The sequence below is a fragment of the Homo sapiens genome, chromosome 14, assembly GCF_000001405.40.
Source record: "Homo sapiens chromosome 14, GRCh38.p14 Primary Assembly".
NCBI classification, from domain to species: domain Eukaryota; kingdom Metazoa; phylum Chordata; class Mammalia; order Primates; family Hominidae; genus Homo; species Homo sapiens.
Genome location: NC_000014.9, coordinates 33,119,622 through 33,144,929, shown reverse-complemented (window position 1 = coordinate 33,144,929; position 25,308 = coordinate 33,119,622). Strand labels below are relative to the sequence as shown.

At 36.7% G+C, this 25,308-nt stretch overlaps 1 protein-coding gene across 17 annotated transcripts in view, besides 1 other annotated feature; it reads right to left on the bottom strand.

Moving 5' to 3' along the window:
• Nucleotides 1-25,308, bottom strand: part of NPAS3 (neuronal PAS domain protein 3) — an 869,389-nt gene that overhangs the window by 659,244 nt on the left and 184,837 nt on the right. The window lies entirely within an intron of this gene.
• Nucleotides 10,270-10,847: an enhancer, noted in NCBI's record as "OCT4-NANOG hESC enhancer chr14:33603289-33603866 (GRCh37/hg19 assembly coordinates)". NCBI's record gives its function as "activates a minimal SCP1, AML or CMV promoter by ChIP-STARR-seq in primed H9 embryonic stem cells {active_cell/tissue: H9 hESC(primed)}" and the evidence as "EXISTENCE:reporter gene assay evidence [ECO:0000049][PMID:30033119]".

The following is a 25,308-nucleotide window of genomic DNA, read 5'->3' as shown; positions in this document are numbered from 1 at the left end:
AATCTAACACATAAATCCTTTTTAAAATCACATGAAGGCTAGGTGTGGTGGCTCACACCTATAATCCTAGCACTTTGGGAGGCCAAGATAGGAGGATCATTTGAGGCCAGGAGTTCAAGACCAGCCTGGGCAATGCAGCAAGACTCCCCATCTCTACAAAAAATGAAAATTAAAAAATGAATTTTTAAAATTCATTTAATTAAATGAATTAAATGGGTAAATTAGCTGGGTGTTTTGGTGCACATTTGTAGTCCTAACTACTCAGGAAGCTGAAGCAGGAGGATCGCTTGATCCCAGGAGTTCAAGGCTCTAGTGAGCCATGAGCATGCCACTGCACTCCTGCCCGGATGATAGAGGGAGACTCTGTCTCAAAAAAATAATAATCATCACATGAATATGTACTTCAGGTAACTGGGAAATACATCAGAATTATAAAGATGCTGCAGTATGCAAGGACTGAAAGATTGAAATGTTGACATAAGTGTCTCAGCAACTGATGAAAACGTTACAAAAGTATATCAAAATTTAAAAATTGTAAAAATAATTTAGTAGCAATAACTGATTTCAAAACAATAGGTTTTGTCCAACAAGCACATCTTAAAAGATGCTCAACGTCCTTCTTCACTACGGAAGCACAAATCAAAACCACAATGAGGTCCCACTTCACATCCATTAGGATAGCTATAAGTTTTTTTATTTGTTAAAAACATGAAAAATAAGTATTGGCAAGCACATTAGAAAATTCTGAATTTCCAGTGTGAATGTAAGATGATTAAATCACTGTGGAAAATAGTTTGGCTGTTCCTCAAAAACTTAAATGTGGAATGACCACATGACCCGGCAATTCCAGTCTCAGGTATATACCTAGAAGAACTGAGAACAGATACTCAAACAAATACATGTGCCCAAATGTTTACTGCAGCTCCATTCACAATAGTCAAAAGAGGAAAACAACTCAAATATCCAGCAACAGATAATAAAGTTATATTATATCCACACAATGGAATACTATTCAACCATAAAAAGGAATGAGGTACTGATTCATGCTACAATATGGATGAACCTCAAAAACATTAGGCTCAGTGAAAGAAACCAGACACAAAAGGCCACATATTATATGATTCCATTTACAGGAAACATCCAGAATAGGTAAATCCACAGAGACAGAGCACAGACTTGTGGCTGCCAGTGGGTGGGGCAGGGGAAATAGGAAGTAAATACTTAATGGGTATGAGGTTTCATTTTTGGGGTGATAAACATGTTTTAGAACTAGATAGAGGTGCTATTTGTACAACATTGTGAGTATACTAATGCCACTAAATTGTTCACTGTAAAATGGTTAATTTTACGTTTTATACAGTTCACTTCAATTGCAAACAATAATAGGTTTTATGAAAAGGATTGAAAAGCTAAGAGAACAGGATACTTTTTTTTTTTTGAGACAGAGTTTCGTTCTTGTTGCCCAGACTGGAGTGCAGTGGCGCAATCTCGGCTCACCTCAACCTCTGCCTCCCGGGACCAAGCGATTCTCCTGCCTCAGCCTCCCAAGTAGCTGGGATTACAGGCATGCGCTGCCATGCCTGGCTAATTTTGTATTTTTAGTAGAAACGGGGTTTCACCACATTGGTCGGGCTGGTCTCGAACGCCTGACCTCAGGTGATCCACCCGCCTTGGCCTCCCAAAGTGCTGTGATTACAGGCGTGAGCCACCGCAGCCGGCCAGGATAACTTTTTTTAACCTTATAAACTGTAAGTGGCAAAAAGCATAATTATCTTATAATCTTAAAGGAGACAAGATTTAAGAGGTATTTCTTTCTTCTTCTTTTAGATGGAGTTTCGCTCTTGTTGCCCAGGCTGGAGTGCAATGGCATGACCTCAGCTCATTGCAACCTCCTCCTCCCGGGTTCAAGTCATTCTCCTGCCTGAGCCTCTGGAGTAGCTGGGATTACAGGTGCCTGTCACCATGCCCACCTAATTTTTTGTATTTTTTTAGTAGAGATAGGGTTTCACCGTGTTGGCCAGGCTGGTCTTGAACTCCTGACCTCAGGTGATCCACCTGCCTGGGCCTTCCCAAGTGTTGGGATTACAGGCGTGAGCCACCGCTAAGTGGTATTTCTATTGAAATCAAGAGAACTGCCAAATTTTTCTCCAGGACAAAAAGGAATGCATGAACAAATATAGATATGTGTCATATTCCTCAATGGAAAGATAGAATACTTCAGAAATAATAATCCTTTCTATTCCCCAATAAAAAGATCAAATAGATATTCCTTAAGTTAACAAAAGATGTAAAAGCTTACTTGGAGAAACCAATATGTCAAGATTTCAAGGAAAATTTAGAAAAGAGAAGTAGGACAAAGTTTTTTTTCCCTTACCAGATACTAACATATTATAAAAATATGGCAATTAAAGCAGTATGATTTGAATACAAACACTGACATATGGCACAGAAAAAAATGGCCTGGATCCTAGTATAGGGCATGAAATCATTCAGTATGTTCAGTTATCCTTTTAGAACCCACTATATGCCACATACTGTACTAAGAGCTAGCATCAGAACCACATTTATTAGATGTCAACATAACTTCAGCACTATAGCAGTTAAGGCTAAAAAATGTTAGTGTATGTCTTGTGTTGTTTGGATAGGGAAGTATTCCTTTTTAAGTGTAAAAGTACTGAAAAAAAATCCCAGAAGGAAGAGGTGACAGATTTTAGTAAAAAAAAAAAAAAAAAAAAAAAGCTTATACAAATTAAAATAAAATAAAAATTAGGAGCAGAAGTAAAATTGTACAAAGTACTAAGGCTAAAAATGTTACAGCCTTAATAACCAGTTCACAGCAATTAATTAAAATCACTAAAGTTCTAACAGAAAAATAGGTAGAGCCCATTGAATGGCAAAAGAAATAAGTGATAAAAATAAATAAATTGTTTAATATTAAGTGATTTTCAATGGAATACTAATTTTTACTATCAAATTAAGAAATGTCCTAAAAATTCCACTGGTGTTGACAAAGGTGTGGCGAAATGATGTCATCCTCACACACTGCTGGAAATGCGATGGCATACTTGCTGGAAAGCTATCTATCGATACGTATCAGATCGTATACAGCCTTCAGCTGTACATCCTTCATCCCAATTCTATTCTCATATCACAATCTCAAGGAATGTAAACATTCATACAAAATGTACGCAAAGATGTGCATCACGAGTATATTTATAATATCAAACACATAAGAAACCATCTAAATATCTAATCATAGAGGATTATAGTATATCCATATATGTATTGTATACTCTTAAAATGTTTTAAAATATTTAATGATATGAGACACGCTAGCAAAGTAATTTTTAAAAATCAGTTTACCAAAGCATACTTAATTTTGAAAAACTGTATAGAAATAGCTCCAAATTCTAAACAGTAGCTACTGTGATTCATAGAATTATCTATTTTCATCTTTATATTTGTCTGTACTTTTAAAATTCTCCATAGTAGGCTCATTTTATTTTGATAATCATGGAGGAAGTCATTAAATAAATGGAGGCCAGCGTGCCAATTCACTTTGGAGTCCATTCTAAAAAGTAGTAGTCTGCTGTGAAATGTTTTCAATAGCTCACACCCATCATCATTTCCCCCTTAGTAACAAAACTGAAGCAGGAGTGAAAGCTATAAAGCCCAGCAATGACCTACATTAGCCGAAAACATCAAGATGCTTAACATGAGGTGCTTCATGATCAATTTCAAGCAAGCATACATTGCTCTCGCAATTCATTGGCATGTCAAATTCTTGACAAAATACTAAGTGACTGCAGGTGCCAATCACTGTCTCACAATGCATTCCATTGTACAGTTTTGGTATCAATATGATTAAACTATGATGGCATCCCACATACAACAAACTGTTGAGAAATTACTTCTCCTGGGAGGCTGCCCTGATGCTCCGCCATTGTTTGTCCAAAAGCAAAGAAGAGGCAAACATACAGATTGCTTTTTGAATTGATGGACTGATACCAAGCAGCTTTAGGATTTCCCCATTATGTTTGGCCATAGTCAATAGGCTTTCTTAATTCCATCATTCACTTCCAAATGCAGCCAGTCCTGATAGCTTTCTTGACCTTTCTTCTCCCTCCCATAACACTTCTCATCTTTTGCTATACCTTTTGCTATTTTCTCTGCTGTTCTACAGCAAGAAAAGGAGGAATTTCTGATACTTTTTTTAAAGACCATTTTTTAGTGATTCTTCTCTATTGAATATTGAATGCACTTGAGAGCTAAGAATTATAATCCTGCATCGATGGGAAAAGCAAAACAAAACTGAAGTATGAAAGGGAAATGACACGGTGAAGCATGCATGATTTAATAAATACATTCAATGCAAATGAGAGAATTCACAGAAGAACAGAGATAAATACTGCCAACACCAACACTTCTAGAAAGAAATAAGACACACTGGCCAGTGAGTAACGGGAAAGGATAACCCACTTACACAATGGTCACCTGCTGATGTTCTACATTTTCACCCCTAAAAACAGCAAAATGAGCTCAAAATAGTGACTGTTTTTTTCTGTGTTCTTTTCCCTACTTACATATTACTGAAATCATCTTCTATCCCCTTACTTTCTGTCAACAAGAGTGCAATCCATTTCCTAATATCTGAGTGATGTATTAGCCACCTGAGTGTCAAACTTGTTTTTCCTCATTTTCGTGGGATATTTATGTCAAGATATGCCACACTTATTTCAATGTAATTTACTGTGCAGCAGTGGTGTTTCTATGAATTAAAACCAAGGTACTGAACCACACCACCAAAGAGGAGTGGTGAAAGTACACTTCATCATAGGCCTACCGAAAAATGTTTTAATATATATTCAGAATAAGGGAGTACTACTATAATTATTAAGAAGGAGCACTGACAGCAAACAACATGCAAAGTAGCGTAAAAAATGAAAATCCCTTAAATTCAGCAACTCTTTCTCTTGAAAAAAAAAATCATGCAGGCAGAATATTATAGGACTGGAAGGCCAAGAAGTGGAAGTAGACAGGGAAAGCACGTGGAAATCTGAGACTACATTCAATCAGTTCTGTCCAGTAGAACTTTCTGTGATAATGGAAGTGTTCTACGATCTGCACTGTTTATTACAGTAGCCACTAGCCCCATGTGGCCAATAAGCACTTGAAATGAGGCTAGTGCAACTGAGGAAACATATTTTTATTTCATGTTACTAATTAAAATTTAAAGAGCCACATAGGGCTAATGGCTACCATTCTGGACTGTGCAGTATTGTATGGAGCTTGTATTCAGAACAGAAGCACAATATGAAACAAATTGTCAGGAGGAGAAAGTCTGAGGAATACAATTCTTTAATATGCCAACATACTCAGGGCTTAAAAATAATTTAAGAAACCACATCCTCCACCCCGTCCACATCTTCTCAATTCACCCAACCACCAATACACTCCAATGATATAAGATTCCCACCTCTCCTGTTGGCAAGTTAAAATTAATAATGTGAAGAAAACCATTTAATTCTTATACCACTATTTGTAATTTTGGAAGTAACAATGTAGTGAATAAAAAGCCCAATCCAGGAAAAACTGATTGAATGGTATGGGTTTTGGTGCAATGGGAGGAAGCCAATGTGCACATAGATGCTAGCTGGGCGGCAGAAAGGGCAACTGATGGTAACATGTGAACAGTCTCAAAATCCTATAGTTGGATGCTCAGTTTTATCTGATTTTATATGCTTGACAAGCCATTTGTGATCCTCACTGGAGGTAATTAAAAGACTGTTCTGATGTACTAAACAGAATATTACTCATCTAGACAGACACCCAATTTTAAGTTCCCAACCACTGGGAGTAAGTCATAATAATCCCATAGGAAGTCAAGAGAAGAGAAAATCTCTATCATGAAGAAACTTTTGCCAGCTATAGCTTTACTGAATATATTCCACTTACCAAATGGAGTATATCCTCCAGAACTAACTTTTAATGATAAAGCAGTATTTAATCATGCATCCAGTTCTTCCTCTTTCTTTCCTTGTCACGACAGAATATATTCTAAGAAAATACTGTCCAAGTACCTTGAAGTCAGGTTCCATTGCATGTCAAGTATATAACCCTATCACTCAAAGAAGCCCCGTTGTTTTTATGTCTAACTGCAGAATTTCATATAAATTTTCACACATTCATTCCAGCATTTTATGTTTACAGCACACATGAGATCACTGGAACCCTGTCTCATTCCCTCTTCCTTAGACACCATTTTATTTCCTTAGATTTGGAATTGATGGAAAAAATTGTTGGAAGACTCTATTTATACATAAACACATAGATGTTTTGTATCTCTCTGGACCAGAGAGAAAGCACAATGGAATCACAGTTGACTGAGCATGATGCTGGGGCATGGATGTACTTTTTTTCCATCCTTAATTCATTGAACCAATGAATCTTTTCAAGTATGTTTTCTAACCTCAAAGAAGAATTAAACCAATCCTTTACAAGTTTTATGCTTAGCTTATAGCTTTATATGTATTCAAGTAATAATTACTGTATGACTACTATATTTAATGACCTGTGATAGGCACTTATAGTAAAAGATGATTTAAATGTGTCAGTCTTATTCACTGATTACCAAAACCCTGAAGATATTACAAACTCCCATCAAGAAAGTGATAGACTCAGGAAGGGGAACATCACACACCGGGGCCTGTTGTGAGGTGGGGGGAGGGGGGAGGGATAGCATTTGGAGATATACCTAATGTTAAATGACGAGTTACTGGGTTCAGCACACCAACATGGCAAATGTATACATATGTAACTAACCTGCACATTGTACACATGTATCCTAAAACTTAAAGTATAATTAAAAAAAAAAAAAAGTGATAGATTATGTCCAATTCTCCACAAGATGAGAAAGATGTTACACCATCCCTCATTTTTGGGAAAAGCAGGAGAGCTTGTATTTTAAAAACCCTCCACACCTACCAGATAATTCTGTTCAGAAAGTTGTACCTCCCTTTCTCCCCAAAAACTATTGAGAATCTCTAGTCTATTTCACAACAGAATTCCATATTTAAATCTAGATTAACAGATTTCCCAAACTTGGGATTCATATTATAAATGTTAGCCAAATAGCTCTAGAAACACATATATTTTCATGTTTCCAACTAACACGACAAAGATACTGGGCCATTCTTGAGATGTTAAATTTAAATTAACTCCAGAAATTACTGACAGTATTATAAATATTATAAATCCTGGCTTAATTCTTATGTAACGTATACTAGGCTTTGCTCATTGTTACAATTTCCACTAATCTTGATATTAGCTGAAGACACAAACAGCAAAAATCTGGTTGATGTGTATATGTACCCATTTGTACTCACACATATATTGACTTTGAAATTTGTACTTCAATTAAAATAGTACCAATTATAATGGCCTTTTAAAATCCAACAGATACATTACAATTCCTGGTGGATTGCTTGCTTCAAGAAAATAATAATAATCTTAGTTGATGGTGAATCAAACAATCTTATTTAGTAATAAGATGCCATGTAAATGATTCAGTTTTGTCTTGAAACTCCTCAGATGTTGCCAGAGGCTACATCAAAGTCACATTTAAGTCTTAAATATCTCAGATGCCTTGATGGAGATTTTCACTATAATAGTCCAACTACTCACCCTTAGTCACTAAAAACATTCATTTTATCACTTAATGTCCTCATGTTAATTCAATTATGTTTCTTATTTCAGTCACATTTTATACATAATGTGCTACTTTAGCATCTATACAGTTGAATTTTCTCTTGCATTCTTCTAGCAAATAATTCTTCATAATATTCAACAATTTATTCTTTTTTTGCATTGATTACACTGGGCTTCCATTACTTCTTAAATTTTTCAACAGAACAGAAAAAGCCAAGAAGTTTTGGCATATTCATTCATCTCAATTTTAATCAATGGCCACGAAGAAAAATAAAGTGAAATTTCTATAAATTTAAGCCTGGTCCTTCGGGAGCATATTACAACAAAGTTAAATCAATGAATTAAAACTGCCTTCTTCCATAGATCAGGAAAAAGCGGTATTGGTAAATTGCTCCCATCATCTTTGTAACAGATACACGAAGTATATAATCCCAGATGCAAAGGCCATTGCTGTTGTATTGCAAAGGCAATAGCTAAAAACTAAATCTTTCAAGTACCCACATCAAGAAGTGCCTGAGATGTAAGAGGTTGTGTGACAATTGGAGAAAGTAAGCTGCAAGGCACAGACTTTGAAATAAGGCTCACTGGTTCCAATCTCAGGTCTGCTGTTGACTAGCTATACAACTTGGGGTGAGTTTCACCACCCCAGGGTCTCAGTTTCTTCAGTTGTAAAATGGTGATCCTACCACTTATCTCATTAAAACTGAGTTACTGTCATTATTACTGCAGTCCTAAATTCCAGAAAACTATATAGAACTGCTCATAGCCTGCATTATCAATGTGTTAAAGGTTATCATGGACATGGTTGTCGTTTTGTGTTTTTTCAGAACCGAAGAACTTTTCATTTTAAAAAGGTATTTATTTGGCCAGGCGCAGTGGCTCACACCTGTAATCGCAGCACTTTGGGAGGCTAAGGTGGGCGGATCACGAGGTCAGGAGATTGAGACCAGCCTGGCCAACATGGTGAAACCCTGTCTCTACTAAAAATATAAAAATTAGCTGGGCGTGGTGGTGTGCGCCTGTAGTCCCAGGTTCTCAGGAGGCTGAGGCAGGAGAATTGCTTAAACCTGGGAGGCGGAGGTTGCAGTGAGCCAAGATCGCGCTACCACACTCCAGCCTGAGTAACAGAGCGAGACTCTGTCTCAAAAAAAAAAAAAAAAAAAAGAAAAAAGGTAGTTATTGCACATGAATGGCCACAGCTCAGAGCTTTTAGGTCCACTTACACCATGTCTACTTGTGCTGCTTTTATTACATAAGACAACCTATTGTGTCCAGTGGAAAACCATTTTGGATCCATTCCAATTACATGAGGTCTATTTCACTGTAAAAAGTGTCCTCCACTTCTGTTCAGAATCTAAGGAGATGGACTACCAATCATTTCTTTTCAACGGAGCATTGGCTGCTGGAACTGGCTGAGCTCATTCATTTTAAAATTATTTACCCCGACCCACTCCAATGCTAGTATTTTATTGTTTCTTTTGGTCTTTTCCTTCCCTTTTTTCTTCTTCAGAAATCCAAAAGAGTCAAGAGGGAAATTGTTTTTTTTAACCCCCACTGAAAAATTCAGACTGCTATATTTGTAATCAATGACCCAAATCCAAAATAATCACAATTGCTTTTCATAATCAGAATTGCAAAAAGCTGCTCAGCTTTTTTGACTTATTATAAAATGTTGGAATTCTCTTATGACAAAGAAATATGCAATTTTTGCACAGCAATGATTAATAAACTTAAACTATTTTATGGTAAAATGCATTGAATGTCTTATTTTTAATAAAAATTTCTTTCCCATTACTGAAAACATATAGTTCTCTAATTTAAACCTGTAGTGATGAGTTCCAAACAGTATAGTGGCCAAGAAGAAACACATTTCAACATTAAGTCAGGAAATCCACTCTGAATCCCTACCTTACCAGCTACCACAACCATCATCTCTTCATTTGCTGAAAGGTCAACATTGGTTTGTCCGAATTTACGAGTAAGTTCTCCTCACTTTTACTTGTCCCTATAACTTCAGGGATTGCTTAGAAAAGGGTTGCTGGCATACAGCCAACTGAGTAAAATAGCTGTGGAGTCCAGAAACCAAAAGTGAATTTCAGACTTTCACAATAGACAGGATTACATGAAGAGTAAGGATAGTTATATTTTTCAAGTGACATTTATAAGTCTTAATAATTGGCGAGACATAATATGCAATGAAAGCACAAAAGCTGGCACTAGCTTTATAACCAATAATCTTGGAGTAAGAGCTCTATTTGTGAAGTAACACTGAAACTAAAAGTTGGGGTGCCCTACAGCTGAAAGCCAGACTATACCTGTGAATGCCTCTCCTTTAACCAGCATATTATGAGAAAAAAAAAATCAGTCTTTAAGCACATTCACTAGGAGAAAGTTTCAAAATGTCATTATCCATATAAAGATCTAACAGGTAAATGCAGTAATAGGGTATTAGGTACAGAAATCACTAATTTCATACCAGCAATACACCACAGCTAAACAGTAACTTCTAATTCAAAACAAAGCTTCATGGGTCCATCTTGTTGCCCACTTCAGTAGGCAGAGGTGACTACTCTTACATGAAGCCACCTATGCTGATGGAAAACCAAACAGACCACAGGCAAAGCATCTTTAAAACAGCTCCTGGTGGCTGGATAAAATGGAAAATCTCTCCAAAGCTAAATTAAAATAATGAGACCTCTATATGCTGTTGTTTTAACTAAGTAGAATTTTCAGTATCCGTGAAAAAACCATTTAGATAAAGTATTTGCCTACAAAACTGTGCTTTTCAAGTGTTATTTTGATGTAAAATTGAGTGTTTAAGGATGAAAATTCCCTCAAGCACTCTGAAATGATAGCGCCGTTGACAGTGTCAAAAGCCATGCTGAGATCAAGGGAAATGCGAATGGAAGCAGTAGCAACTGCATTCATAAAGAGGTCATTTAAAACCTCTTTGCTATGATATAAACTAAAACATGACTAGAATCTCATCAAAGAAAAAGGAAAAAAAAAAAAGTTCAACTGTCCATCCTAAATTCCCAAGAAGAAAATCACCCAAAAATTCCTAAAAGATTTGATATGTAAGTGTAAATTCACTTGTCAGATTCCAAATAGCAGTCAATTTGCATTTTGTAGGTAGAAAAAGAAGTGTAGTTTATCAATGAATTTCCAAAAGAGAGGAATCCCCTCATTTTCTTATAGAAAGCGAACTTTACCATGTGCTAGCCCCTCAGTTGCAAATTCCTTTAATTTTTCTATTTGAAGTTATTGCTATATATTTCTGTAATGATCCCTAATGCCTTCACCTAATGTACAACTTGTTTTCTACAGCTTTTGGACCACAATCCAAGAAATTTTCTTTGATGGACTAGAATCATCTGGAATGCCCGTGGCTTCTCCCCTTCCTTGGACACTATATCATGTCACCAAGAAGCAGCTTTAAAGCTTGTAAACCTCTAGGAAAAAAGGCCACATAAGATAGAAACTACATTCTTACAAAAGCTTCCACTTTTCTATTATTTGCATAGTCTGATTAAATGCTCAGCCCTTGTCACCTTTTCTACAAACTACGGACAAGTTTACAATAGGTATAAATGCCCTTTCTTACTATTTACTATTGCAGTCATAATGTTATTTTACCAGTGACTGTTAATTATTTTATTATTAGTCATTGACTGGCACTTACACATTCATTAGATAGCAATTATTAGAGTTTAGTTGGGAAGTTACAGTAGTTGGCTTAACCAATGCCTTCTTACACACTTATGACTATGAACAGAATGCTGCCAAATTCTGACCGGTCCTAACGACTCAGTGATGTACATTTAAAAAGGGAAAAGCCTTGCTAATATCTTCTGAATAAAATATTTTATTTATCAAGTTTCATGTCTCATATAGTGCCTAAATCCCTTCATAACTGTCAGATGTGCCTTAAGATAAAGCCCCTCTTGTGTTTTTATGTAGTGTATGTGTGCATATCCTTGCCTTCATAAGAGATTCTGATTCTTGGTGCCTATAATACAATTTATTATATATTTGTTGGCTTACTGCTATGTTGCTACCAATTATATGATGATAACATGAGTAACACTGGAGTGGGAATTTTTGTGTTACTACTGGACAGAATACAGATAGAAGTCTTCTTTCATAAGTCATATGTACTTTATTAACAAATAATAATCCCACCTATCTAATCACAGTCATAGACCAATTAATTTAAGAGTAATAACTGGAAATTAAACTTTGGTACTATGATATTAGTTGTGCAGTTTGGACAAACACTTAAGACTCAATTTCTTATGTGCAAAATACCCACTTCACATGGTTCATATGAGAATTAAACAGGAAAACCAAGAAGTATCTAATAAAATGTATGCAGCATAACAGGTATCAGTAAATATTAGTTATTTCCCTGTCCCCAATTTGCTTCTAAAGTCACTACCATCTGGCTTTGAACACTGATGATTCAGTCAAATTGTCCTAATTAAGGTATCCAATCATCTTGTCAATTTTCCATTTCTGTGGCACAAGACATTTACTATCAACTGTACTTGCCTTCATGAACATGTTTCCTTGGTTTCTAAGGCTCTTTCCCCTCACACTTGAACTTCCCGTCTTCTCACCATCCCTCACTCCTGAGGGATCCATCTACGTGCTTATAGTCCCACAGCACTTGGTGCCTCTTGATGATTTCAGCCATCAATCTCAATTTCCATCTCTAACCTCTCTTCTGAGCTCAAGACCAAACTTGTAGTCTCATTATTTTCTCATTAAGTGAACAGGTATGTATGGTTTAAAATATAAGACTTCTAGTCTCTTCCTACAAGTACACAGACAACTCGAAAATCCAAAATCATCTGGATACTCATTCCCTTCGCTCTGCCTCACTACCCTTGCCTCCCTAAGTTTGTCTCTTCAGCACTCAGAAGCCCAAGCTAGAACAACCAGAGGCACTCAACTTTAGCCTCTTTTATTGCCCACATTAAACTAGTCACCAAGCATTTGGAGTCCACACACCTCCTTTCATCTCCACTTCCATTGCCTAATCCAAGGTCTTCATGCAAGTTACCTGGACCACCAAGGTAACCTCCATATCTGCTTCCCAGACTCCCTTTCCCACCAGCTTCCAATCCAATTGCTACATTGTTTACAGTTTAAATGAATACATGAACCACTTAAATAATGGCTCTTTCTTCTCTGTGGTTTCAGCTCCTAAGGACAGCCCTTCTCAATCACCTGTTCAGCCCCATCTCCAGACACAGTTGACATTTGCCACCAATTATAATTTTCCTAAAGAACCAGCTCTCCACATGACTTGTCCCACTTTCTCTATCAGATAAAGTATAATTGATCCTGCAAGCTTCGGCTCAAAGATTACGTTCCCAGTTTACTCCTCAGTGCATAACACAGTTTATTGTGGCCCTTTTTAACACCCCTTCCTTACCAACTAAGCCAGAGATTTTGTGTTAATCATGCCCATAATAGGCATTTATCAAATATTGGCAGACTAACTTACATTCCTCTGTGTGGGCATGCACACGCAAACATGCACACATACGAGCAGCAGGGCTAGGATGAGTTTGCCGTATTTTCTATAATTACTAGGATTATTAGATGACAAAAAAGGGACTATAAACTAATAGCTGTTTCTCTCTACAAATGTATCTGGAGAGAGGCAGATACACAAACCCCAACATTTATTACTTATATTAAATACTGTACATGTAAAATAAAGGATGTAACCTCAGCTGGGCGTTTTGTTAATCAGAATTTATAAAAATCTGCTTAACCACGTGGAAGTCAGATGAACACATGGCTGGGTGTAACTCAATTGGACTGAACTTGAGAGAGAGCTGGAGAACTTGGAGAATATCAAATGGGGTCATTTAAGCCAAATGTTTAAAGGATTATCAATAAATCTAGAATAAAGCTAATATTTAGATTATTTTGTCCAGAAGACAAAGTGGTCTAATTACAAGTAGATGACCTAATGACTGTTTCAGCATATAAAATTTTACTACACAAGAGAGACTAAAAACTAGTTTTTCCTTGAGGAAAAAAGTGTCTTTGTTACTTACTCTGTAAACTCCCACAGAACCTGGTATGTAGACTTGCTCCAAATGTGTACTGACAAGTAGAGGACAACAAGGGAACTCTCATAAGAGGTACTTGGGCCAGATAATAAAGCCCAGCTGAATGGTGAGCATGGATGGTTTGAAACTTCTCTGTATATCTTTAAGAGTAGAATAAATACCCATCTCTGAGGCTTCCGTTGTCCCTTCTGGAAGTGAAAGCCTGTCCTGGCTGAAAAATTGAAGGTTTCTTATAACACAAGCTTCAAATCATCATGCACACTTCTATAGGAATTTCAGGAAGAGAGAGATGCTGTGTCAAGAGTGGATGTGAAGAATGATGTTTATTAATACTGAGGTTCTATTTCTGCATTTAGCTTGTTACAAAATGAAGAACCTGAATAAAAATACAATATAAGCAAAATATGGCATCAACTCAGAAACTTTTTTCTAAATTGACTAGGAAGCCAGCTCCTCCTAAAAGCATAAGAAAATAATTGCATTTCCCCCATTCACTTGTTATAAAAGTTATTTTGCCCTTTTTGCACAAACAGCATAAAGATTCCAAAACATACAATGTGATTACAAAATTAGAATGGTGATATTTCCATAAAGTATCATTGATTTCAAAGGAATCTCAGATGTCATAGAAATAACAATGATTAATCATGCTTAATTTTACTTAATTTATGCAATCACATATTTATTTCACATTCAGGGAAAGGAAAAATAATCTTGCAATTCAAAGACTATTCCTCTTCACCTTCATTCGCTTTCTCAACATCTTCACTTGTGTTGGCAAATTCTGCCTGGCTCTAAGGATAGTTCCATTACTGCTGAGACAGTGGGTCTAAGTCTACAAATGAGACTAAATAAGGGGGGAGAGTAACTTATTTTTAAGGAGATTTAAGAGGACAGTCAACTGAAAAGGAAATTATTTCCATTAAACAGAAGTAAAACAAATCCTCCATTATGGTCTGCCGTACGCATAAAGAAGGAATTGGCCATTTAAGAAACTGCATTAAATGAATTATGGATACCTTATCAGTTATAATTGCTATACCAGAAAAAACGTTAACACATACAGACTGCTTAGCAAACAGTAGCACTTCTGTCATTTAGGGAAAAAATAACATCCTAAATTAAAAGTGACAAAACTACATGTTACACACTATTAGGGAGCCATGCTAAACACAGATGGTATGATCTGTTGCTTAATCATGAAACTGTGAGTAAAATATATTGATCTCAGTTCAAGGAGTTAAAAACACCCAGTCAAATCTTTAAAATATCTTTGAAAATTATCGCAAATTCTCTTTTTGCCAAGCTAGTCATTCATATATTATTATAGCAAACAAAGTAACTAATATCTTTACTTTTTAAAGATAAAATCTTCTACCTCTGAACATGGGATCCTTTATACATACTCACTTCTACATCTCCTATTATGAATGTGCTTGCTCTGCCCAAAATGTACTAGTTATTCACTACTGCCATAACTGTGTTGGATTCTAAAACTACTACAATTGGGAACAACCAAATAGACTAAAATGTGTGGAAGATACAAACTATCCTTGGCAACTGACACAGGAATTTTTCAATAACAGACATTTCTTTACAAGCACATAAACTTAATAGCACGCTTTAATGTTTCAGTGAGTATAAAAATGACAAAAAAGATCTACTTATGAGGAACAGGCACCTTCAACCAGTGATGAAAATGGAGCTTCTTTAATTCAGAAAACCACCGCAGTTTTTGGATATGCTATCAATATTCACATGTGTTAGAGAAGTCTCTGAAAGTGCTTAGCTATCATTGTCCAGATGGCTTTTTCATACACTGACAATGGTTGATAAACCCCATAGTTATTTCTCTCTTTCCCTTAATGCCCTATTTTCATTATTTGTTAGAAAAGAGATACATTAATAAATTTCTTACTCTTAGACTCACAGAATTCTAAAATGAGAAGCACGCTACAGATTATTTGTTTCAATCAGTGAGTGGAGCCCAGAGCTGCAGTAACTTTTCCACCACCACATCCAGGGAGTCCTCTGCAGAAGAGAGACTGGAAATCTTGGCCCCTGGTTTCTGCTGTGGGGCTTTTCTCCAGGTTACAAAAACCTGGAAAAAAATCCTGTGGAAAATTCGTAATGGGACTGAAATTAGTTGGAATGAGGTCAAAAGTGACAAAAAGAGATTGTCAGTATATGAAAAGAGCATATGGAGGATGATGGCTAACCATTTTCCAGTTTTGATGAAAACACTCATGAAGCCATTTCTGATACGATACTTTGTCTAAGATGTAAGTATCACCTACTTCTCTGGTTGGAAAGGGCATTATGTGTAAAAGTAACACCAGAGACAAGGTAACATTACCTCATAAACACATCTGTGAGAAGCAACACAATGTATTCAATTCATTCATTCATTGGTTCATTTCAAATATGTATTGAGTATACAATACTGGCTCGGCACCATTTAGCTGTGGAAATACAGTGATCAAAAACTCATCTACCACTCACTGGGTATGGAATACAATGAAGTTTTTTAAACAGGTAAATATTAGTCCAGCCACTCACTACTTTTATAAAAATATAGCACAAAAGTCATAATTTCACATAATTTTCTTTGAAGTATCTTATTCTGTTCGAATAGTATTTTAGTCATAAAATTGGTATCTTTATACAACACATGCTTCTAACTCATTCATAACACCCTATTTCAAACAATATTTAAGATAACAAATTTCTGGTATATAAGAACAGAAAAATCTCTTCCAGTTTCCTCCAATGTAGTTTAACTTATATTGTTGATTGAGAAAAAAATATTTTTCCACACAGATCCTACATACATTTATTGGTAGACAGATGCAATACACATTTTTTAAAGTACATAAACCAATTTGATTACTTATTATCTGTTTTGTCTTTGCTTTTATTCGTTCTTCCATTGTTTTAGATGTCCTAAACCTTCCACCAAAAACAGTACCACTGGGATTTAAGTGAGGTTCACTAATTTTTACAGCTTTTTTGCATTTTAATTACTCCAGAATTTTTATGGCTGACATTAAGCTGTGACAGCTTTGTACATTTCTCAGAGAATTGAAAGAAAATAAAATTTTACCATTTCTCTATTATTAACAAGGGTAGAATCCCATCATAATTACTGAGTGAACACAAGTCGAGGCCAAATATTTCCTTGTCCAGGAAGAAATTTATAAATCTATGCCTCCCTTAATAAGTCTTAGTGATGCAAATTGCCTATTTATTCTTTTGAGATTTTGTATCAAGTGGATCTATCATGAAGGGAGGAAAGGGAAATGTATTTTACTGAATTCAGAAGAGTGTTTATTCACAGAGTAAGGATTCAGGAAGGTGAGTCACATCCTCCAAAGCCATGGGATTATCTATTTTCTCCTCTAAAAAGAGTAAAGAACTAGAAACCAATACAATGAGAACTCCAGAAACTTTCTAACTTCTCAATGTTTGCTTTTGTGCTCAGTACCTGCCAGCTTTCTAGGACAGTAAGACCCAAGTCCGTAAAATGCAGGATCTGAACCTCCTTCTATAAGGGAGCAGGGATAAACTATTATCCTTTTTGCAGCATGGCTTGTTTGGAGGAAGAAGCCCAAAGTAACACAAGTAGAGACACAGCCCAAACTAACACAAGAGACACAGCGTGGCCAAGTTGGTTTTATGCCGGAAATGCAACACTACAAACATCATTAAGTGTAATTTACCACATCAAAAGATTAAAGGTAAAATAAGGACATATTCTCAATATATGCAGAAAAATCATCTGGCCAAATTCTACACAAACTCATAATTAAAAAACCAAACACTTCATAGCATACTCAAAAAAGGGAGGTCCTTCACTAGATAAGAAATGTCCATGAAAAAACTACAGCAAAGCTTGGTGGCTGAATATCAGAAAAATCTCATTTAAAATCAGAAACAAGACAACGGTGGCAAAAACCAAACTGCCATTTACAGAGGATGTAATGTGTATAAAGGAAGTCCCAAAGAATATGCCCCAAAACATTTATTTAGAGTTTTTTTTTTTCAAAAGCAGGGAACAATAAATGAAAAAAATCAAGATCTCTCAGTTGGAGAGCCAGGGCAGTGGAGATGGAATTAGGAAATTCAGGTAGCTTCAATAATACTACTACAGTTCTAGTTTTTTAAATTGAGCGGTGAAGTGAGAGATATATATTTTATTTCTTACAGCTTACATGTGTTACATGTATTTTTGTAATCAACAAGCATTTCACTATTTTAAATCACTTAAGCCACATGTTTAGGTATATGTGCCCAACCACGAACTTCTCTGAGGTTGGGAACAAATCTCAACATGAGTGGTAAGTGGAGTCTGGCTTGCAGGAGGTGTTCTGTACATGCTTGTTACAATATTAAGTGACAGAGGAACCTACCAAGTAGAACAAGGGCATGAGCTGCCACAGTCTTTCCACTTGTTCTCCCTCTGTCTAGAACAGTCTGCCACCCTCTCTTCATTACCTTACACCATCCAAACCCTTTCATCCTGGCCAAGCCCTTCCCATCCATCACTTCTCCATGTTCATGCCTCTTGCTCTGGGAAATCCTTCTGTGGTCAGCTCTCCCCACCCACCCGCCTGGATTAGGCACCTCCACAATCTCCCATCCCCAGCCCTGCACACACAGCTAACAGAAACCATCTCAGAGTAATATCTGGGGATCTACATTTTCAACATTTCTAGGAAATTTCCCAGTGCAAGAAAGCTGTAAGACCTCTGCTACACTAAGTTTAGAACACAGGAACGGCATCCATTTTGTTCTGTGGTAGCCTGTCCAGCAGGCAGTAGACACCATCTATCAACTGAATGAAAGAATGCATGCAGTTTACCACTTACTGTTTAGTCTTTCTGTCCTCTATTGCCACTTGCAAGTAGATAAGTAGTGGTTGATATCAAAGAAAAGAAAAGCTATTAGGAAAAATATAAAACTGAAAAGTCGATTAATTTTTAAAACTGAACAATGCACCACCAGTAGAGAGGACTGCAGTTTGAAAACTAGCATGCTATGGGGCTCTTAAAGTTGCCAGTTAATTTCTCGTGAGGTATCTATGGCCCATTCACACAGCTGAAGGCTAAATGGCGGCTCTTCTTGTGACCTTTACCTTTTCCTAATTCACTAGAAACATCAACTGCCATTTGTGTTCAAAGCCCTTATAAAGCATATTACCCAAATTGGAAATAATCTGTATTAATATTACCTTAAAAATTCCTTTATGCTATTTAACATGTTTTCTTTATGAAAAGTAACTAGTCTATCTAAAACATTACTATTTTTAAGTAAGTAATAAGTTTGATCCTCTTTCCTAACATGTATGGTTTAAAGATTTTTGTTTCTTTCTTCTAACTCCTACTTCTAGTTGTTCCCATAATAGTCCCACAAATATTTTATACCCTGGGTTTGACCATGTCCAGGGCCTTTCATATATGAAACAGGAAGCAGCTGAGCCATGTTTCACAGGCTTTTGTCCATTCTCATTTAAAGAAAAACACATCGGGAACTTCTTAAAAGGATTTCTATGGAATCATCAGTTCTCGATAAAGTTCAGAGGTGAGTAACGTCCTCATGCAAATACTCTGCCTTTGCTCACAGATTGATCACACTTCTATCAGCCACTGTTGCCTCTATATCCTTAACACCTGAACTGAATTGTCAGGAAAAAAAAATCTCATTTTTTGTTCCATAATTTTATCTGAGTAATTCTGAGAAAATATCTCCCATCATTTCCTCGACTCCTGGATTTTCTAATTCTGTACCCTGAAGATAAATTTCACTCTTTTCTATTGCCCATAAATAAATTCCGTTACACTTCAGAGTTAAATCATATCTCATATATGACCTACTTCCTTCTAGTGCTTATAAAAATTATTAATAAACTTAATTCCTTCATTAATCCATTAATTTCCTTCATTCATGAATTCATTAAATAATGTAATGCACCCATTACATGCCAAGCAAAAGTCTGGGCACTGAGAAGTCAAAGAAGAAGATAAAAGTCCCTGCACTCAAGCAGCTAATATATTTTAGTGGGAAAAAGAACACATATTTCTTTTTCTCCATCCTTTAAGTACTTTCTTCTTTCCTATCATCCTGTCAATGTTTTCCTATAGGTAGTTCTCCAGGCTCTTGAACTACATCTATTCCAAATGTACTTTGAATGCCTCCTAATAGCTTCCTAAGGCATCTTCCTTGCCATGAATCCTAAAAGCTAATGGTACCTTCACTTCTTTATATTATGCAATTTATCATTGCCCTTTTCTTCTTGTAACACCTTTTCCTTTCCAAAATTGATCACTATGTTTAAACATCTTTCTTATTTTATACTCAATTATAAAGTCTGCTTAAAAGACAGTGTCTTGCCCTCTTATTTAAATATTCTGCTTTGAAATATTCTCATCTATTTCCTCTCCTGAGTTAAGGTTTTCTCCCAACATTAGTCTTCAGATAGCTTTCATTTTTGTTGAGGATACATGTATCAATCTCATGTTTCTCTATATTTCTTATCCATTAACATGCCTCTTTCAGTCCTTATTTCTTAGCAATAAAAATATCTAGTACTGACATGCCAAATATTGTTCTAATGTGATATCTGCTCTACATGATATTGAATTTAATCCTTACAACCCTTTAGAGAGCAGTAGCATTATCCTCATTTTACAGAGGAGGAAACAAAGACACAGAGTGATGGTGTAACTTGCTAACTAAAGACAGTCACAATTTGGATATAAGTGGTCCGGCTTCCGAGTCTCTGCCTTCCCTTACCTGTTATGCTACGCTGCCTCTACAATGCAGAGGAAAAGACAACTCACCCTTTCTCATCCCATGTACCAGAAGAAAATCTTTTCACTCCAAGCATCTACTCTGATGTTATTGGGGGGATAATGGTTTAAAAAAGCAGTCTAGTTTCCCAAAGAAATGTACACAATCTTTCCTCTATAAAACTTCATAGAGGCTGGGCACAGTGGCTCACACCTGTAATCTTAGCACTTTGGTAGGCCGAGGCAGATGGATCTCTTGAGCCCAGGAATTCAAGACCAGCCAGGGCAACATGGCAAGACCCTGTCTCTACAAAAAAATAAGCCAGGCATGGTGGCAAGCACCTATAGGCCCAGCTACTCAGGAGGCTGAGGCACGAGAACAACCTGAGCCCAGAAGTGGAGATTGCAGTGAGCTATGATCCCACCACTGCACTCCAGTCTCAGGGACAGAGTGAGACCTTGTCTCAAAAAAAAAAAAAAAAAAGAAAGAAAGAAAGAAAAAACTTCACAGAAAACACTGCCAGCCTATGGAATTCAACTCATTGACACTAATTGATTTTAAGGCTGCCAAAAAAGAAACTCAACAGCTGAATATACTTACCTGTTAATCTCTCTCCTTTAGTTTGGTGTTTACCTTATCTGTTTTTAAGCTTACCATTATTTCCCCAGCATTACTTGGTTTTTCTTTTTCTTGGGGCCTACATATTATCAGGAAATTACATATAACTCTGCTTCTCCTCCCGACTATCTGCTACAGAGGCCTAGGCAGATAGTGGTTTCTTCTGCCTCCCTCTCCACTGCTTCTTTTGGTTTTGAGTTGTTGCTCCTTCTCCCTGCCCCCACCCACTTCAGCAATGCTTATTAATCACCATGCCTGGACCAGGTGGCATATAAAACACTGAAAGGATGGGACAGCTGAAATAATTATCCTGTGTTACCAGCACCCCAACTCCTAGTCAAGTAATGAACAATATCCACAAAATCCCTGACACGGTGCTCTTGTGGCATCTCCCTTGGTCCCTATTAATGGCAGGTAAGTGGCTCCCCACTTTGTCTCTAGTAGGTCCCCCAAATCCCCATAACTCCAATTTACACCCCAAATGTCTCCCGTGATGATCTAAACATGATAATCTAAAGTAACTGCTGAAGCACATTATCATGGACCATTTACAGTACTAATTCTGATAGTTCTTTATCTTCTACATAAAATACTATTATTTAATTATCTAAATTTATTTAATTTATCTAAATAAAATAAAATGTTGTTTAAAAGGTATATCTTTGTTGTGTGCAGCAATGACAGTCCGGCCAGTATTTCCCAGGTTTTTAATAAATATTTCCTTAAAAATAAATAATACTCCTAAAGCACTCATGACTAAAAGTGTTGTTTTGTTTTATTTTCGACTTAACTGAAAACCTTTTTATTCTAGTGATCTTATAATCAAAACGTCCACAATAAAAATCTGTAGTTGATCTCTTACCGACTTCTTCAAGAAAACTTTTCTCAAAGTAGCCCCTTAAGTTTTATTTTCTTTCTTCTTTCCCTCAGTCTCTGTTTCTCCTGCTGACCCCTTAACCATCTCAGTCTTCTTATAAGGTGTAGGATATTTGAGACCTACCAAGCTTTGTGTTAAGAGTGAAACCTGTAGGCAATTAAACATTTGAGCCCCCTTCCTGGCATGAAGTAAAAAAATAAGTTTGAGATCGTTTGAACCTGAGTATCACAACATGAAGGTGGGAACTGTAAGGATCACAGGTTCCTTAAAACACTTGCTCAACATCACTGATAATAGTATTAGCAGAACCAAACCCCAAAGTCATTTTAGTGATCTTTGTTTGGCAAAATATCAATCAATTAAAAATAAGTGGTTTTTGAGTTGAATAATTTGAAATGTCATCGATTTATGTGGCAATGTCTGAACCCTGACATTGCCAGCCTTATTTTTGCTAGTTATTCAAATTAGATTTGATAAGTCCATCTAAAGTTTCCCTCTTCTGGAGAAAGGTGATGGTTATATAGTTCCAATTTCCCACTTTTACTGAAGAAATACCAAAACTTTCATTTCACACTTCCACAGCACAACTTAGAAATTCCACAATTCATTCAACCTACAGCAGTAGGGATAAGACAAACAGGGTGTAAATGTACAAGAGCATGTCTGCTCCAGAATCAGAAAGGCATCCCTTTACAGCCCAGTGCTGTTTCTAAGTGAACATCTACACCAACAGAAAATAATCATAGCTGGATACAAACTACTACCATTTGCAGTTGAAGAAAAATCCAACGTGCTCATTTTTCTTCTATTTTAACAGTGATACATTAACACAGTAATTTCATTGGTACACATGAAAATACACTGTAAGTAAAATACACTGTTTTAGGGTACTCATGGAAAGTTATGTGTTGTTTCAAAGATAAACTTCTGTCATCTGAGTATCAGATCCTCTGCCAGTAATAAGTGAGATACAATTTCCACGTGAGGTATAATCAAATCCTTAGAAATACATTTTTTAATTCACCTGAGTTTTCTCAGGTGTACCAGCTTCTCTCCAATTGAACATTTAAGCTTCAGTAATTTCTCAGTTCAGGCACTTTGTTTTTCATACCCTACTTTCTGTGTCTTTCAATTATACTTTCTATTTCCAGGATATCTGACATGATTCTCTCAGAAGAGAACAATATTTTTCTTTTTAAAAAGTTATGTCAGAGAGACAGAGACTGATTTACTCTGAAGTCTCCATTCACTAGCAGTTCTGATTGCTAAAAAGGTGTCCTTTTAAACAATCTGGCACTCATTCATTTAACAAACAATAAGCACCTGCTATAGGCTAACTACTTTCCCAGGTGCTGGGATTATACAGGTAAAGTGAACAAGAGTCATGCCTTCAAGGAGCAATCAGTCTAGTGGGGGAGTCAGACTCCTAAATAAATAAACAAAATATAGTGTCATGAGTGCCATGTGAGAGGTTGGCCTAAATGCTACAGATAACCCATGGAGAGGGCAACTCATTCTGTCTGCCTACAAATGGATGTTTTATCTCAAAGACGTAGGAACTGGTTCGTCAAGTATGAATAAAAGTCATCAGGTGAAAAATAAAAGGATATTCCCAGAAGAGGAAGTAGCATCGCAAGGCCATGAAGTTGTAAAAGAATACAATGTGCTCAGGGCATGATGAGTCACTTGGTATGATTTTGGGTCAGTGTGCATAAGACAGACTTGATTTTGGGTCAGTGTGCATAAGACTGACTGTTAAGAGGTCAAAAAGGGAGATTGAGCCAATAGACAAAGGAAGAGGGATTCAAACATTCTGAGTAATGTAGTGGCTACTGGAACTATATTTCTGAAAGATAATTTTGGCAGTAATTATCACCGAACAGGAGGGATAAATGATGGAAGACAGACCCATTACGAACTAGAGTTTGCGCATGTGAATTAAAAATACAAAAGAAGAATGAAAATAGTGCTAAGGCGTCCTGCTACTAGCAGGTCCTAAAATAGCTGATAAACTCATACTTCTCCTTCCCCTTTAGTGTAGTTTTCTCTCTAATTTTGAGGCTCATAGCCTTAAAAAAACCAATGCTTCTCAAATTCAATGGATATAGGAATCATCCGGGCATCTTGTCAAAATGCAGATTCTTATTCAGTATCTCTTGAGAAGGAGGAGAGCTGAGATTATACATTTCTAATAAGCTCCCAGGAAATGCCAATGCTATTAGCCCATGGACCAAACTTTGAGTAGCGTGTCATTATGAGTCAGTTATATTGCTGCCCTTTCTCAATAAATCACAATGAAAACTGAACACTTGAACATCGCTGTTGGTTGGATGGGTGTAAGGAAGCATGTATGTTTGTTGTCTAATACCACTTAAGAAGTGATATGACACACTGGCTAAGCATTTGCAGTGAATGAGAACAGACTATGGTCACCTCTCATAGCAGATGTAGTGCCCTCAATGCCAGAGTATCCATCTTGTAAGCAAAAGTTGGCAATAGCTGTCATTTAAAATCTCTAGTTGGTTCCGGTAATCGTATCAAAGTTCATTTTCAGATTTATGTGGCCATTTCTGATAGAAATAAAAAGTATGGGCCAGGCGCCATGGCTCATGCCTGTAATCCCAGCACTTTGGGAGGCCAAGGTGAGTGGATCATGAGGTCAGGAGGTCAAGACCAGCCTGGTCAAGATGGTGAAACCCCATCTCTACTAAAAATACAAAAATTAGCCCAGCCTGGTGGCGGGTGCCTATAATCCCAGCTAGTCGGGAGGCTGAGACAGGGAGAATCACTTGAACCCAACCTGGGTGACAGAGCAAGGCTCTGTCTCAAAAAAAAAACAAAGTATCTGAAAGTATATGCTCCTAGCAGAGATGATCTTTAATGACTGCTACTATAGCAATGCAGTTTTAATGTTAAATGGCTTGGTTACTGCCAAGAATATATGGCATTAAACAGAAGGTCTTCATTTAGTTTATCATTTCAAATTTTATCTATTGACCCTCTAACTAGAGCAGAACCATCCGTAAGGATGACATCTCTATAGTTCTCTGAAACAGTCAACATCACCTACCAGAAATGTAATGCGGGAGTAGGGCGTGAACAATAGATCTTGATTCTGAATGCCTTACTTTCCTTCTAAGGGAGCAACTTTACCTGGATTTCAAGTTTTCCTTTCATCATTTTCCTGGTGCACGGTGACACAGATGGTGTGAGGTAATTTTATGCACT